Source organism: Homo sapiens, chromosome 17 (genome assembly GCF_000001405.40).
Source record: "Homo sapiens chromosome 17, GRCh38.p14 Primary Assembly".
Taxonomy (NCBI): domain Eukaryota; kingdom Metazoa; phylum Chordata; class Mammalia; order Primates; family Hominidae; genus Homo; species Homo sapiens.
In genome coordinates, this window is record NC_000017.11 from 74,274,962 (window position 1) to 74,287,971 (window position 13,010).

The 13,010-nt window shown below is 50.4% G+C and overlaps 1 protein-coding gene across 17 annotated transcripts in view, besides 2 other annotated features; it reads left to right on the top strand.

The window, feature by feature from the left end:
- The window catches only part of DNAI2 (dynein axonemal intermediate chain 2), a 40,651-nt gene that overhangs the window by 728 nt on the left and 26,913 nt on the right, over window positions 1-13,010 (top strand). For 11 of the 17 annotated variants that reach the window (XR_007065388.1, XR_007065398.1, XR_007065399.1 and 8 more), the window contains 3 exons: window positions 6,846-7,039; window positions 10,079-10,240; window positions 12,016-12,137. Coding sequence is in view for 4 of the 17 variants with exons in the window: in NM_001353167.2 (NP_001340096.1) it covers window positions 6,857-7,039; window positions 10,079-10,240; window positions 12,016-12,137 (467 nt within the window). In the remaining 13 variants the exon portion in view is untranslated. Of the gene's footprint in view, window positions 1-6,845; window positions 7,040-10,078; window positions 10,241-12,015; window positions 12,138-13,010 lie in introns of those variants that run through there. The other 6 variants (XR_007065389.1, XR_007065391.1, XR_007065393.1 and 3 more) reach the window with 3 other exon arrangements.
- Window positions 5,221-5,280: an enhancer, noted in NCBI's record as "active region_12703". NCBI's record gives its function as "activates an Ori minimal core promoter by ATAC-STARR-seq in GM12878 lymphoblastoid cells {active_cell/tissue: GM12878}" and the evidence as "EXISTENCE:reporter gene assay evidence [ECO:0000049][PMID:35858748]".
- Window positions 9,664-10,259: an enhancer, noted in NCBI's record as "H3K4me1 hESC enhancer chr17:72280764-72281359 (GRCh37/hg19 assembly coordinates)". NCBI's record gives its function as "activates a minimal SCP1, AML or CMV promoter by ChIP-STARR-seq in naive H9 embryonic stem cells {active_cell/tissue: H9 hESC(naive)}" and the evidence as "EXISTENCE:reporter gene assay evidence [ECO:0000049][PMID:30033119]".

Here is a 13,010-nt window from a genome sequence, read left to right on the forward strand (position 1 = left end):
CTTCTCCCAGCTTTCAGACCCTATGTGTTTTCCTCTCGAATCCTTGGTTTCAAATCCTTTGCTTGTTTGTCACGGTCAGCAGAGGAGGAACAGGGGAGAGAGCTGTAGAGAGAAGCCTGGTAGGCGCTGGTATCACAGTCACTAACGCAGCAGGTGACAGGAGTCTTGGGCCCCTTCTATGTGCCAGTCCCTGGGGACGGGAGTGAATAAAAGACCACAGTCTTTCCGTCAAGGAGACCACAAGGTAGTTGTGAGGGCAGGTAGTCACTGACCCCCATCGGTCTCCAATTCTGGGGACCTCTTCCCAACTCGTCCTGCCCTCAACCTTCACTTTCCTTGGGGGGCTCAGCCATGCTTAGTGCTATCCTGGGGGAAAATAAATGGGGGCTTTCTAGGGAGGTCTGCCTCTTTTGAGGGTAGAGTGAGTCCCTCAGGACCCCGGAATTCCAGAAGGTGCACAAGGACATAAGAAAGAGAAAGAAAGCTGGGTGCGGTTTTCACACCTGTAATCCCAGTGCTTTGAGAGGCCCAGGAGGATGGATCACTTGAGGTCAGGAGTTTGAGACCAGCCTGCCCAACATGGTGAAACCCCATCTTTACTAAAAATACAAAAATTCTGGCCGGGTGCAGTGGCTCACGCCTGTAGTCCCAGCTACTCGGCAGGTGGAGGCAGAAGAATTGCTTAAACCTGGGAGGTGGAGGTTGCAGTGAGCTGAGATCAGGCCACTGCACTCCAGCCTAGGTGACAGACTGAGACTCCGTCTCAAAAAAAAAAAAAATTAGCCGAGTGTGGTGGCATGCACCAGTAGTCTCAGCTACTCAGGAGACTGAGGCACAAGAATCGCTTGAACTTGGGAGGCAGAGGTTGGAGTGAGCCAATATCACACCACTGCACTCCAGCCTGGGTGACAGAGCAACACTGTCCCAAAAGCAACAACAACAAAGAAAGAGGGAAGGAAGTCCTCTCCTGCCAGGTGCCATGCAGGGCCCACCACTCGCAGGAACCCAGTAGGGGCTGTACCAGGGACCAAGAAGAAGAGGAAAATGTTCTCATCTCCTTATTCCACTAGGGAGTTCAATGTGGAGGGCTGACCTTCCAGCTTGCCTCCTTCCCAGTCTCCCACGCTGACACTCCTCCTCCCCATCACTCCCTTGGCCTTCCTCCCAGCTTGGAAAACACACTTTCCCTTAAGCCACCGGAGGTTCTCTCCAGGAATTACTTTGCTCATTCTCACTGCACAAGACGAGTTTTGTTTTTATAGTGAGTGAAGGTTCCCATCTGACTGCCTCCCCGGGGATGCGGGAGACGCCTGAATCTTTGATGTCTGGACCACAGCGTCCCTGATTCTGCGTGTTCCTGTGTTTGAGACTCACAGTGGTGTTCTTCACGCCTCTGGGACTCTAGGTTCCCACGGGGGGAGGATCTCCCCCCAAAACTCCAGAGGGCAGTGACACTGCTCCCGTCCCCGCTCTGTCACCCCATGCAGACACTCCTGCTCAGGCCTTGCTTGGGGAAGCCCACCCTCTAGCACTAGTCTCACAAGAGGTTGGGGGAGACCTCCTGAGACGCCCTTTGCTGACCTTGCTATTCATCTGTGTGCCCTGCTAGCTTGTGAGAAGAGCTTGCTCTGGGTCCTTGAATGGGTTGTCTTCCCGTCACCAGGCCAGTCTTTAAATGTCCCCTCTGTCTGCCTCCAGACACAAGACAATGCCTCTGTTCTCACTCGGGGCTTGGCCTTGGGAAACACCAAGAAGGAAAGCAAAGCTGTTAAAAATCTGATCTGGGCTAAAGAGGCTATTTCTGTCTTCCTGGAGTTTCCTCATTCTCTTCAATCTCCTTGTGTCCCCTAGGAGCCAGCTGGCTTGCAGCAATTTCTTTTAAAAGTCAGAGACAGGCAGCCCTAATTGCCTGAGTCCTGCAGCCCCATGTGGGAGGCACAGTTGCTTCACACTGTGTTGGCAAAGGGGAGGATGCCACGGGATTTGCATGCTTTTTCACAAGGCCGTAGCTTTGTCCATGTGGTAAAAACACACTGGGGCACCCCGCTACAATCTGGGCTTCTCATCCCACCCTGTGCCCTCTAAGCCATTGCTCCCACCCAGGAAAGAGAATTTCCAAACTACAAGAAAGAGAAGAAAACAAGGCTGGGTGCGGTGGCTCATGCCTGTAATCCCAGCACTTTGGGAGGCCGAGGTGGGCGGATCACTTGAGATCAGGAGTTCAAGAACAGCCTGGCCAACATGCTGAAACCCTGTCTCTACTAAAAATACAAAAATTAGCCGCGAATGGTGGCATGTGCCTGTAATCCCAGCTACGGGAGGCTGAGGCAGGAGAATCGCTTGCACCCGGGAGACGGAGTTTGCAATGAGCCTAGATCTTGCCACTGCACTCCAGCCTGGACGACAGAGCGAGAATCCATCTCAAAAAAAAAAAAAAAAAGAAAAAAGAAAAAAAGAAAGAAAATGCCACTTTCTGCAACAGTCTGGTTAAGGTTGAGTTGCTCTGGGGCTAGGAGTGGGATGGGGTGGTACTGTCTTCAAGACACAATGTATATGGATGCAAAGGGTTAACCTTCCTACCCTCCTTCTCCCCACCTGCTGCCCCAGCTGCTCCAGGGCCCAAGTTCCCCCTGGCACATGCTTCTAGGGGCACACAGCTCCTGCCCTGCCTCTCAGGGGCCAGCGGCCAGGACCCACTGGTCTGGTGCCTTGTAGCCCTGGAGGCGGGAGAGGGTAGGTAAGACACAGGTCTGGTAGTCATGTTCACCTAGGGTGATTGTGAAAAACACGAATTGCTAGGCCCTGCCCCAGGCATCTAGTTCAGCATTTGCAGGAGAGAGGCCTGGGAGTCTGTGTATTTTTAAGGAAGATCCCAGGTTTCAGAAACGCTGGTTGAGAGATTAAGTTCCCTCACTTTAAATCAATGGTCCTCAAAGTTGGCTACACATGGAATTGCCTGGAGAATTAAAGAAAAAAAGCATATACTGATGAGAGATTCTGATGTAGTTGTTCTGGGGTTCAAACAGCATTGTGATTTCACAAAGCCCTGCAGGTGTTTCTAAATGTGCAGTCAGGACTAACAATCACTGCTTTAGAGCCAGACATGCCTGGTGGTTCTGCCTGAACTGAAGAACTGTGACCTTTGGCCCTGTATTAATACTTCATCTCTCCAGGCCTCAGTTTCTTCATCTCGAAAATGGGCTCATGCCTATAATCCCAGCACTTTGGGAGGCTGAGGCAGGAGGATCACTTGAGCCCAGGAGTTTGAGACAAGCCTGGGCAACATAGTGAGACCCTCAACTCTACAAAAAAAAAAAAATTAGTCTGATGTGGTAGTGTCTGCCTGTGGTCCCAGTTACTCAGAAGGCTGAGGTGGGAGGATTGCTTGAGCCTGGGAGGTTGAGGCTGCAGCAAGCTGTGTTCATGCCACTGCACTCCAGCCTGGATGACAGAGCAAGACACTGTCTCATAAAAAGAAATGTTAGTGAGAATTGTGATCACTCTTTGGGAGTGGTGCTGGGCATGCAGGAAGCACGCCTGGAAACTGTTGTTCATAGTGCTTGCAACCTGGTCAGTCTTTACATATTCTGGATGCAAGTTCTTTATCAAATAGATAATTTGCAGATATTTTATCCAAGTCTGTGGCTTCTCTTTTTGTTAACATTGTTGGCCGGGCATGGTGGCGCATACCTGTAATCCCAGCTACTCTGGAGGCTGAAGCAGGAGAACCACTTGAACGCAGGAGGCGGAGGTTGCAGTGAGCAGATATGCCACTCCACTCCAGCATGGGTAACAAAATGAGATTCCATCTCAAAAAAAAAGAAAGAAAAGAAAAGAAAGAATGAATAAGACCTACTATTTGATAGGACAACAAGGTGACAACAGTCAGCAATAACTTAATTGTACATTTAAAAATAACTAACAGGCCGGGCGCGGTGGCTCACGCCTGTAATCCCAGCATTTTGGGAGGCCAAGGTGGGTGGATCATGAGGTCAGGAGATCGAGACCATCCTGGCTAACACGGTGAAACCCCATCTCTACTAAAAATACAAAAAATTAGCCGGGTGTGGTGGTGGGCACCTGTAGTCCCAGCTACTTGGGAGGCTGAGGCAGAAGAATGGCGTGAACCCGGGAGGCGGAGCTTGCAGTGAGCTGAGATCGTGCCACTGCACTCCAGCCTGGGTGACAGAGGGAGACTCCGTCTCAAAATAAATAAATAAATAAAAATAACTAACAAAGGATAAATTCTTGAGGGGATGGATACCCCATTCTCCATGATGTGACTATTAATATCTAGTATTTGATAGCACAACAGGGTGACTATAGTCAAAATAATTTAATTATACATTTAAAAATAGCTGAAAGAGTATAACTGGATTGTTTGTAACACAAAGGATAAATGCTTGAGGGGATGGATGGATACCCCATTTCCCATGATTGTATATTGTATATTGCATGCCTATAGCAAAACATCTCCTGTGCCCCATAAATATATACACCTACTATGTAACCACAAAAATTAAAAATTAAAAAAAAATAGCAAAACCTGCTCACAGGCAAACCTGCTCACGTAATCCTGTTTTTGAGATAGAGTCTTGCTCTGTCATCCAGGCTGGAGTGCAGTGGCACAATCTCGACTCACTGCAACGTCTACCTTCCAGGTTTAAGCGATTCTCCTACCTCAGCCTCCTGAGTAGCTGTGATTACAGGCACGTGCCACCATGCCTGGATAATTTTTGGTATTTTTAGTAGAGATGGGTTTTCGCCATGTTGGCCAGGCTGGTCTTGAACTCCTGACCTCAAGTGATCCACCGGCCTCGGCCACCCAAAGTGCTGGGATTATAGGCATGAGCCACAATGCCCGGCCTAATCTCTTGGGCGTTGAAAGGCCTTTGGTTGTAAATCTACCAAGGCAAGCTCTCCTTCAGTTTATCTTCCTCCCACCAGCACCAGCCACTCATCCACATCTTTTGTCCTAAGGCTCTGTGCAACCCCAGGAGCCTTGCACAGATCCTCAATCTGAGCCCCTGGAAACTTGCTATCAAAGGCACAATTTCTGAAAGTGCAGGTGGCTGGCAGACGGAAATCTCTGCTAATTCCATGGTGTGATATGGCAGGTACACAGGTCAAAGCGCCAACCACTGAACTCATTGAGAAAGCCCTCAGACCCAGTGGAGTCTAGTGATGTCATGGGGGAGTCAGAAAGGTCAAGGGCAATATGTGGGAATGGCCCAGCCCATTGCATTTTTACAACTTCTAATCAGCATCAGTGAGAAACCCTTCCTTGCGTGGCCTGTGAACCCCGCCTCTGATGCTGCTGGAGCACTTTCATTTCACTTCTCAGCATCCTGTGGGTGTGTCAGGTCTCAGAAAGACTAAGTGGCCCTGCCTAGGTCACGCAGCTGGTGACGGGAGGCCCAGAACTTGAAATCAGGGCCGAGCCCAGCCCACTTCCCAATTCCCTGCTGTGTCCCATGACCAGTAGCACGCGTCAGAGGCTTTCCCAAAGGCCTCCATGTCCCGCCTGTTGGGGAAGCCCCTGGCTTTCTCTCTGTCTGGGATTGACTCTCAGCTCTGTCCTGGTTGGAGAGAAGAGATTTCCAGGATGGTACCCAGACAGTGGTGGAGGCCAGAGTCTGGCAACCAACGAGCCTTTTGGACAATTGGGTGGGGAGTTGGGTCATTGGGTTGGAGAGGAGGGGTTCAAGAAGAGGCCCAGGGGTCTCAAATCTGTGTCCTGTGTGTTTCATGCCCAGCATGGCAGGGAATTTAGTCCAACATCATCACCATCAATATTTCCTCCTGCCCTGTCAATAAACACTGATTCAGTAAAAACCGTATTGTACCACGTGCGATGGCTCATACCTGTAATCCCAGCACTTTGGGAGGCTGAGGCAGGTGGATCACTTGAGCCCAGAAGTTCAAGACCAGCCTGGGTAAAATGGCGAGACCCCATCTCTACAAAACAATACAAAACTTAGCCAGGCATGGTACTGCACACCTGTGGTCCCAGCTACTTGGGAGGCTGAGGTGGGAGGATCACTTGAGCCCGGGGGTTGAGGCTGCAGTGAGCTGTGAGCACACCACTGCACTCCAGCCTGGGTGACAGTACAAGCCTTTGTCTCAAAAAAAAAAAAAAAAAAAAGCCCTAAAAACAAAAGACGAAAACTGTATCATTTGGTGGGTAAGAGCTTTGGAATGGGGGCAGACCAGCTGCAGCATGCATTAGCTATAGGACCTTGGGCAAGTCACTGATGGCATCTAAGCATCAAATGCCTTCAAAGAAAATGGTGATTTTATTTATTTATTTATTTTGAGACAGAGTCTTGCTCTGTCACCCATGCTGGAGTGCAATGGTGTGATCTCGGCTCACTGCAACGTTCTCCTCCCGAGTTCAAGTGATTCTCCCACCTCAGCCTCCCGAGTAGCTGGGATTACAGGTGTGCACCACCATGCCCGGCTAATTTTTGTATTTTTGCAGAGATGGGGTTTCACCATGTTGGCCAGGCTGGTCTTGAACTCCTGACCTCAGGTGATCCACCTGGCTTGGCCTCCCAATGTGCTGGGATTACAGTTGTCAGCTACCGCGCCTGGCCAAAATTTTTATTGCCCTCCTCAGAGAGCAACTGCAATAACTAAACAGGGTAATGCTTAGCATATAGTCGGCACTCAGGATTTTTTTTTAATGCGGATGCAGCTTCTGGACAAATTCCTAGGATCTCCCCACCACCCCTTGCTTCCTGCCCCAACCAGATTGAGAACCTGGAGCTGTCCTGGCAGGACCTGTGGAGATAGGGAAGGGGCCGGTGGGGTCCCTCACCCCACACCCTCCCTCTGCCCCCCAGCAGCCGGCACCATGGAGATTGTGTACGTGTACGTCAAGAAGCGCAGCGAGTTCGGGAAGCAGTGCAATTTCTCGGACCGCCAGGCCGAGCTGAACATCGACATCATGCCCAACCCTGAGCTGGCCGAGCAGTTCGTGGAGCGGAACCCAGTGGACACGGGCATCCAGTGCTCGATCAGCATGTCGGAACACGAGGTGGGTCCCTGCCCCAAGGGCCCTGGCCTGTCAGGTGTGGCCAGGCAGGGCGGCCAGCTGGGGCCGGTGAGTGGTTCTGTGGGTCCTTGTCCACCTGAAAGCCAGTTAGAGTAGACCAAATGCAGATGCTGGAAGTGAGGGCAGAGGCTCCCCCTGAGTTCCACGCAGTGCTCAGGGTCAGAGGAAGACCCAGCACCCGCCTTCCTCGAGCCAGGGAAGTGCAAATCACAATGTTCCCTCTCCCAAGAGCTCTTGTTTCACCTCGAAGACACTTACCAGAGTTGTTTTGGATGTTTGGTGTAGCTGGGAGACATTTTTTTTTTAAACAGGGTCTCACTCTATCACCCAGGAGTGCAGTGGTACAAACTCGACTTACTGCAACCTTCGTTTCCTGAATTCAATAGATCCTCCCACCTCAGCCTCCCTGGTAGCTGGGACTACAGGTGTGCACCACCACGCCTGGCTAATTTTTGCAATTCTTGTAGAGATGAGGTTTTGCCATGTTGCCCAGGCTGGTCTCAAGCTCCTGGGCCCAAGTAGTCCTCCCGCCTTGGCCTCCCAAAGTGCTGGGAATACAGGCATGAGCCACTGTGCCCAGCGTGGGAGAGATATTCTGAGGGAGCAGAGATTCATATCTACAGGCAACTACCCAGCTTGAGAAAAGGGAAGTGTCCCACAGAAAGTTCCAGCCAGAGGGGCCTCCACGATAAGAGAACTTATCTTGAGGGTCATGGTCATGTGTTCAGAGGCCAAAAATTCCCTGTCTCTATGAACTAAGTGATTCACCCTAATTAGGTCAACAACTGCTGAGATAAAATGATAACGAAATCACTTGATTTGGCCAAAACACGTCCAACAGTCAGGTGGGTGTGGGTGGTTTCAGTGACTCACAGTTCAAATGAATTAGGTGCTTCTCTCCCAGGACCAACTGCTCCCCCGGGGATGAGAAGGACTGTGGCCATGGTGTAGCCAATAAGCAGAATGGCCGCTATGTGGGCCACACCCTGGGGGCCCTCCTGTCGTTTCCAGCAGCTCTGCCTTTTCCAGACTTGTTTTGTTTTGTTTTGTTTTGTTTTAACCTTTCCTATGGTGCTGATCCAGATTTTACCTTTTGTGAGAGCTGGCTTAAAAATGGAAAGGAGATGGGAGTGACTTCATGAGGATGGGGTTTCCATCCTGGGTGATGTAAGAGTTTTGGAACTAGGTGGGGTTGATGGTTGCACAGCACTGTGTATAATAACGCTGCTGCAGTGTACGCTTTAAAGTGGTTATGTGGTAAATTTTATGTTACATGTATTTTACCACAATTTCTTAAAAACAGGAAGGGCTGGGTGTGCTGGCTCAAGCCTGTAATCCCAGTACTTTGGGAGACCAAGGTGGGAGGATGCTTGAGGCCACGAGTTTGAGACCAGCCTGGGCAACATAGTGAGACTTCATTTCTACACTTTTTTTTTTTAATTACCCAGTTGTGGTGGCTCGCACCTGTGGTCCCAGTTACTTGGGAGGTGGAGGCGGGCGGATTGCTTATGCCCTGGAGTTCACAGCAGCAGTGAGCTGTGATTGCACCACTGCACTCCAGCTTGGGCAACAGAATGAGACCCTGTCTCTAAAAATAAATAACTAAATAACTAAATAAATAATTTTTAAAAAATAAAGTGAAAAGAAGGCAGAGGCGAGAGGATCACTTCCGCTCAGGAGTTTGACACCAGCCTGGGCAACATGGCGAAACACCGTCTCTACAGAAGAAAAACAAAAACAAAAATTAGCCACGTGTGGTGGTACATGCCTGTAGTCCCAGCTACTTGGGAGTCTGAGGCTGGAGGATCCCTTCAGCCTGAGAAGTCAAAGCTGTACTGGCCGGGCGCAGTGGCTCATGCCTGTAATCCCAGCACTTCCAGAGGCTGAGGCCAGTGGATCACCTGAGGTCAGGAGTTCAAAACCAGCCTGGCCAACATGGTGAAACCCCGTCTCTACTAAAAATACAAAAATTAGCCGGCCATGATGGCGAGCACCTGTAATCCCAGCTACTGGGGAGGCTGAAGCAGGAGACTCACTTGAATCCAGGAGGCGAAGGTTGCAGTGAGCCGAGATTCCGCCATTGCATTCCAGCCTGGGCAACAAGAGCGAAACTCCTTTTCAAAAAAAAAAAAAAAAAGCTGTAGTGAGTCAAGATCATGCCACTGCACTCCAGCCTGGGCAACAGAGTGAGAGACCCTCTCTTAAAAAAAAAAAAAAGGAAAGAAGGGAAAGTGGCGACACCCACGTGTAAAACTGTCCTCCCTGCTAGAGAGGATAGGCAAAGCAAATCCAAACTTGGAGTTTTAACGTTCAATTTTTGTGACACTGACATTGTCAGTGATAGGGTGGCATTGTTAATGATAGAGTGAAGAAAGGCTATTCACTTTTTCTTTTTTCTTTTTCTTTTTTTTTGAGACGGAGTCTCGCTCTGTCGCCCAGGCTGGAGTGTAGTGCTGTGATCTCGGCTCACTGCAACCTCTGCCTCCCAGGTTCAAGTGATTCTCCTGCCTCAGCCTCCCGAGTAGCTGGGACTACAGGCGCCCACCACCACGCCCGGCTAATGTTTTGTATTTTTAGTAGAGACGGGGTTTCACCGTGTTAGCGAGGACGGTCTCGATCTCCTGACCTCGTGATCTGCTCGCCTCGGCCTCCCAAAGTGCTGGGATTACAGGTGTGAGCCACTGCACCCGGCCAATTATTCACCTTTTCTTTGGATTCTCACAGAGCAGATGGACAGGCTTCTCTGGTCCATTAGAATTCAGATAAGGTCAGAACAGGATTTTCATGACCACAGCTACCAGTTGCAAAGCTGCTTAGCTCCACAGGGTTGCGCTGTTGCAGCTACCTGTGCCCACCTGATCACCAGGAATTTCCTTGCCTGCATTTGAAAATACTGTGGCTCCGGCCAGGGCGCCTCAGCATCCAGCCCTGGGAGCCCCCGTGGGACCTGGCTTGCAGAAGTGGCCGAGGGTTTGGGAGTATACCAGGGTGACGTCTTCCCTCCTGCGGCTCTCTGTTTAGGCCAACTCAGAGCGGTTTGAGATGGAGACCCGGGGAGTTAACCATGTCGAGGGGGGCTGGCCCAAGGACGTGAACCCCCTGGAGCTGGAGCAGACCATCCGTTTCCGGAAGAAAGTGGAGAAAGATGAGAACTACGTTAACGCCATCATGCAGCTCGGCTCTGTAAGGCTTCCTCCTGCCCCAGCTGCAAGAGCCCCATCCATCACTGCAGCTCCCCAAGGGATGCACTGCCCCAGCTGTGCCTGGCCATCGCTGTGAGGCTCGTGTGAATGCTGGGGGGAAGGGGACCAGCTGCTACCTCAAGGAGCCTTCTGTCTGGGAGCAGGCAGAGGTCCCAATCACAGACCAACAGGGAAGGCAGGGAGGTACAAGGGCTGACCAGGCATCAGGAGGAGTCTGACCTTGGGCAAAGGTGACTCCCAAAGTGCCCCACCCAGCAGCCAATAGGGATCATTCATTCATTTGACAAATTTGGACTGAACTTCAAGCCTCTGCCAGGCACAGTAGAGGTTGCAAAATGAATCTCATAATTGTTCTACATACTTGCCAGTGCAAAAAAAAAAAATTGTTTTAAGGAAAAAGAAATTTAAAATTTAAATTAAAAGAAAAAGAATCTCTTATACATCCTGTCCCAAAGAGATTGCAGTCCATTGGAGGTCAAAGACAAATACAGAGACATCACCAGATAACATAAAAAGAAAGAAATGCTGAAAGAGAAGCATGACTTGTCCTTTGACTCCATGAGGAGGGAGGGTCAATCTCCTGCTGAAGGGAACAGGGAAGGCTTCCTGGAAGAAGTGGCAGGGCTTGGTTGTCCTTTGGTGGACATTTGCAATAAAGGGGAGGGCATTCTGGATGGAGGAACCAGCTGTCTGCAAGGACAGGAAGAAGGAGATGAGTGCCATATACACACACACACATATATATATATAGAGAGAGAGAGAGAGAGAGAGAGAGATTAATAATTTTATTTGGGCTGGGCTTGGTGGCTCACACCTGTAATCCCAGCACTTTGGGAGGCAGAGGCAGGCAGATCACTCGAGCTCAGGAGTTTGAGACCAGCCTGGCCAACATAGCAAAACCCCATCTCTACTAAAAATACAAAAATTAGCCAGGTGTGGTGGCACATGCCTGTAGTCCCAGCTACTTAGGAGGCCGAGGCAGGAGAATTGCTTGAACCCGAGAGACGGAAGCTGCAGTGAGTCCAGATCGCACCCCTGCACTCTAACCTGGGCAGCAGAGCAAGACTGTGTCTCAAAATAATAATAATAATAATAATAATAATAATAATAATAATAATTTTGTTTGTCTAGCATGGTGTTCTTCAACCTTTTCTTCATTATTGGCCTTCATGTTTTTTCTAATGGCCTTCTGCCTCCATAAAATGTTTGTTGTTGTTGAGACAGAGTCTCATTCTGTCACCCAGGCTTGAGTGCAGTGGCGTGATCTTGGGTCTCTGCAATCTCCACCTCCCGGGTTCAAGCAATTCTCCTGCCTCAGCCTCCCAAGTAGCTGGGATTACAGGCGGCTGCCACCATGCCCAGCTAATTTTCTTTTGTATTTTTGGTAGAGATGGGGTTTTACTATGTTGGCCGGGCTGGTCTCAAACTCCTGACCTCAAGTGATCCACCCGCTTCGGCCTCCCAAAGTGCTGGGATTACAGGCGTGAGCCACCGCACCCAGCCCATCAAATGTTAATGCTATAGACATACTGTATATCTGTTCATGCGCTGCATGTATTTCCATGCTTTGTACCTAAAAAGCAATATTATTTTACCCCCAGGAACCAATTGAAAATTCCTCCATTGAAAGCACATGGTTAGGTGGATGGGAAAAGCCCCTGGCTATGTCCTGTCCCTCCCAGACTCCATTGCAGGCCTGGGCAATCTGAAAGGACCTCCATTTACTGCGGAGAACTTCCAATGTGTCCCCCCTAGATCATGGAGCACTGCATCAAGCAGAACAATGCCATTGACATCTATGAAGAGTATTTCAATGACGAGGAGGCCATGGAAGTGATGGAGGAGGACCCTTCAGCTAAAACCATCAATGTGTTCAGGTAGCGCCATAGCCAGGCAGGTGTCTGGCCACCCTCCGTCACCCCCATGCATGGGCGCCTCCAAAGGCAACTCCTTGCCATCGCTGCATGCCCTGGGTGCAGCACTGTCTGTGCTCTGAGCTTGATAAGTGACGTGGTGATAAGTCACCCAGCAGAGAAGTGGCCCTGCTCTGGGGGCGGGTCTGGTTGATGGAAAGGGAGTACAGACTCCAGAGAAAGTGAAATTGCCCAGCTGCGTACAGGTGGGGCATGTTCCTGCAGGGCAGAGTAAGTACAAGTACCAAGCATGAGCAGCTAGCAGCACTGTGGGCACACAGGCCCCCGCCGCGGCCTGCACTCATGCGAGTATATCCATGAATAACTCCAGAGGATAGAAGTTTGACACCAGGGATTCATCCCACAGGTTGTGTGTGTGTGTGTGTGTGAAATCACCGCAGGCGTGGATATTCACTGCAGAGGGTGTATGCCAGCCAAAGACTAGAACAAGCTAAGTCCATCCATAGGGGACTGGTTCTAGCAGTTCTGGCACACCCACACGACGGAATGCCATGCACCTGGTAAAGCGAGCGGGGCAGTCTGGGCATGGTGGCTCACGCCTGTAATCCCAGCACTTTGGGAGGCCAAGGCGGGTGCATCACCTGAGGTCAGGAGTTCAAGACTAGCCTGGCCAACATGGCAAAACCCCGTCTCTACTAAAAATACAAAAATTAACTGGGTGTGGTGGCACATGCCTGTAATCCCAGCTACTCGGGATGCTGAGGCAGGAGAATCACTTGAACCTGGGAGGCGGAGGTTGCAGTGAGCCGAGATCGCACCACTGCACTGCAGCCTGGGCAATACAGCAAGACTCTGTCTCAAAAAAAAAAAAAAAGC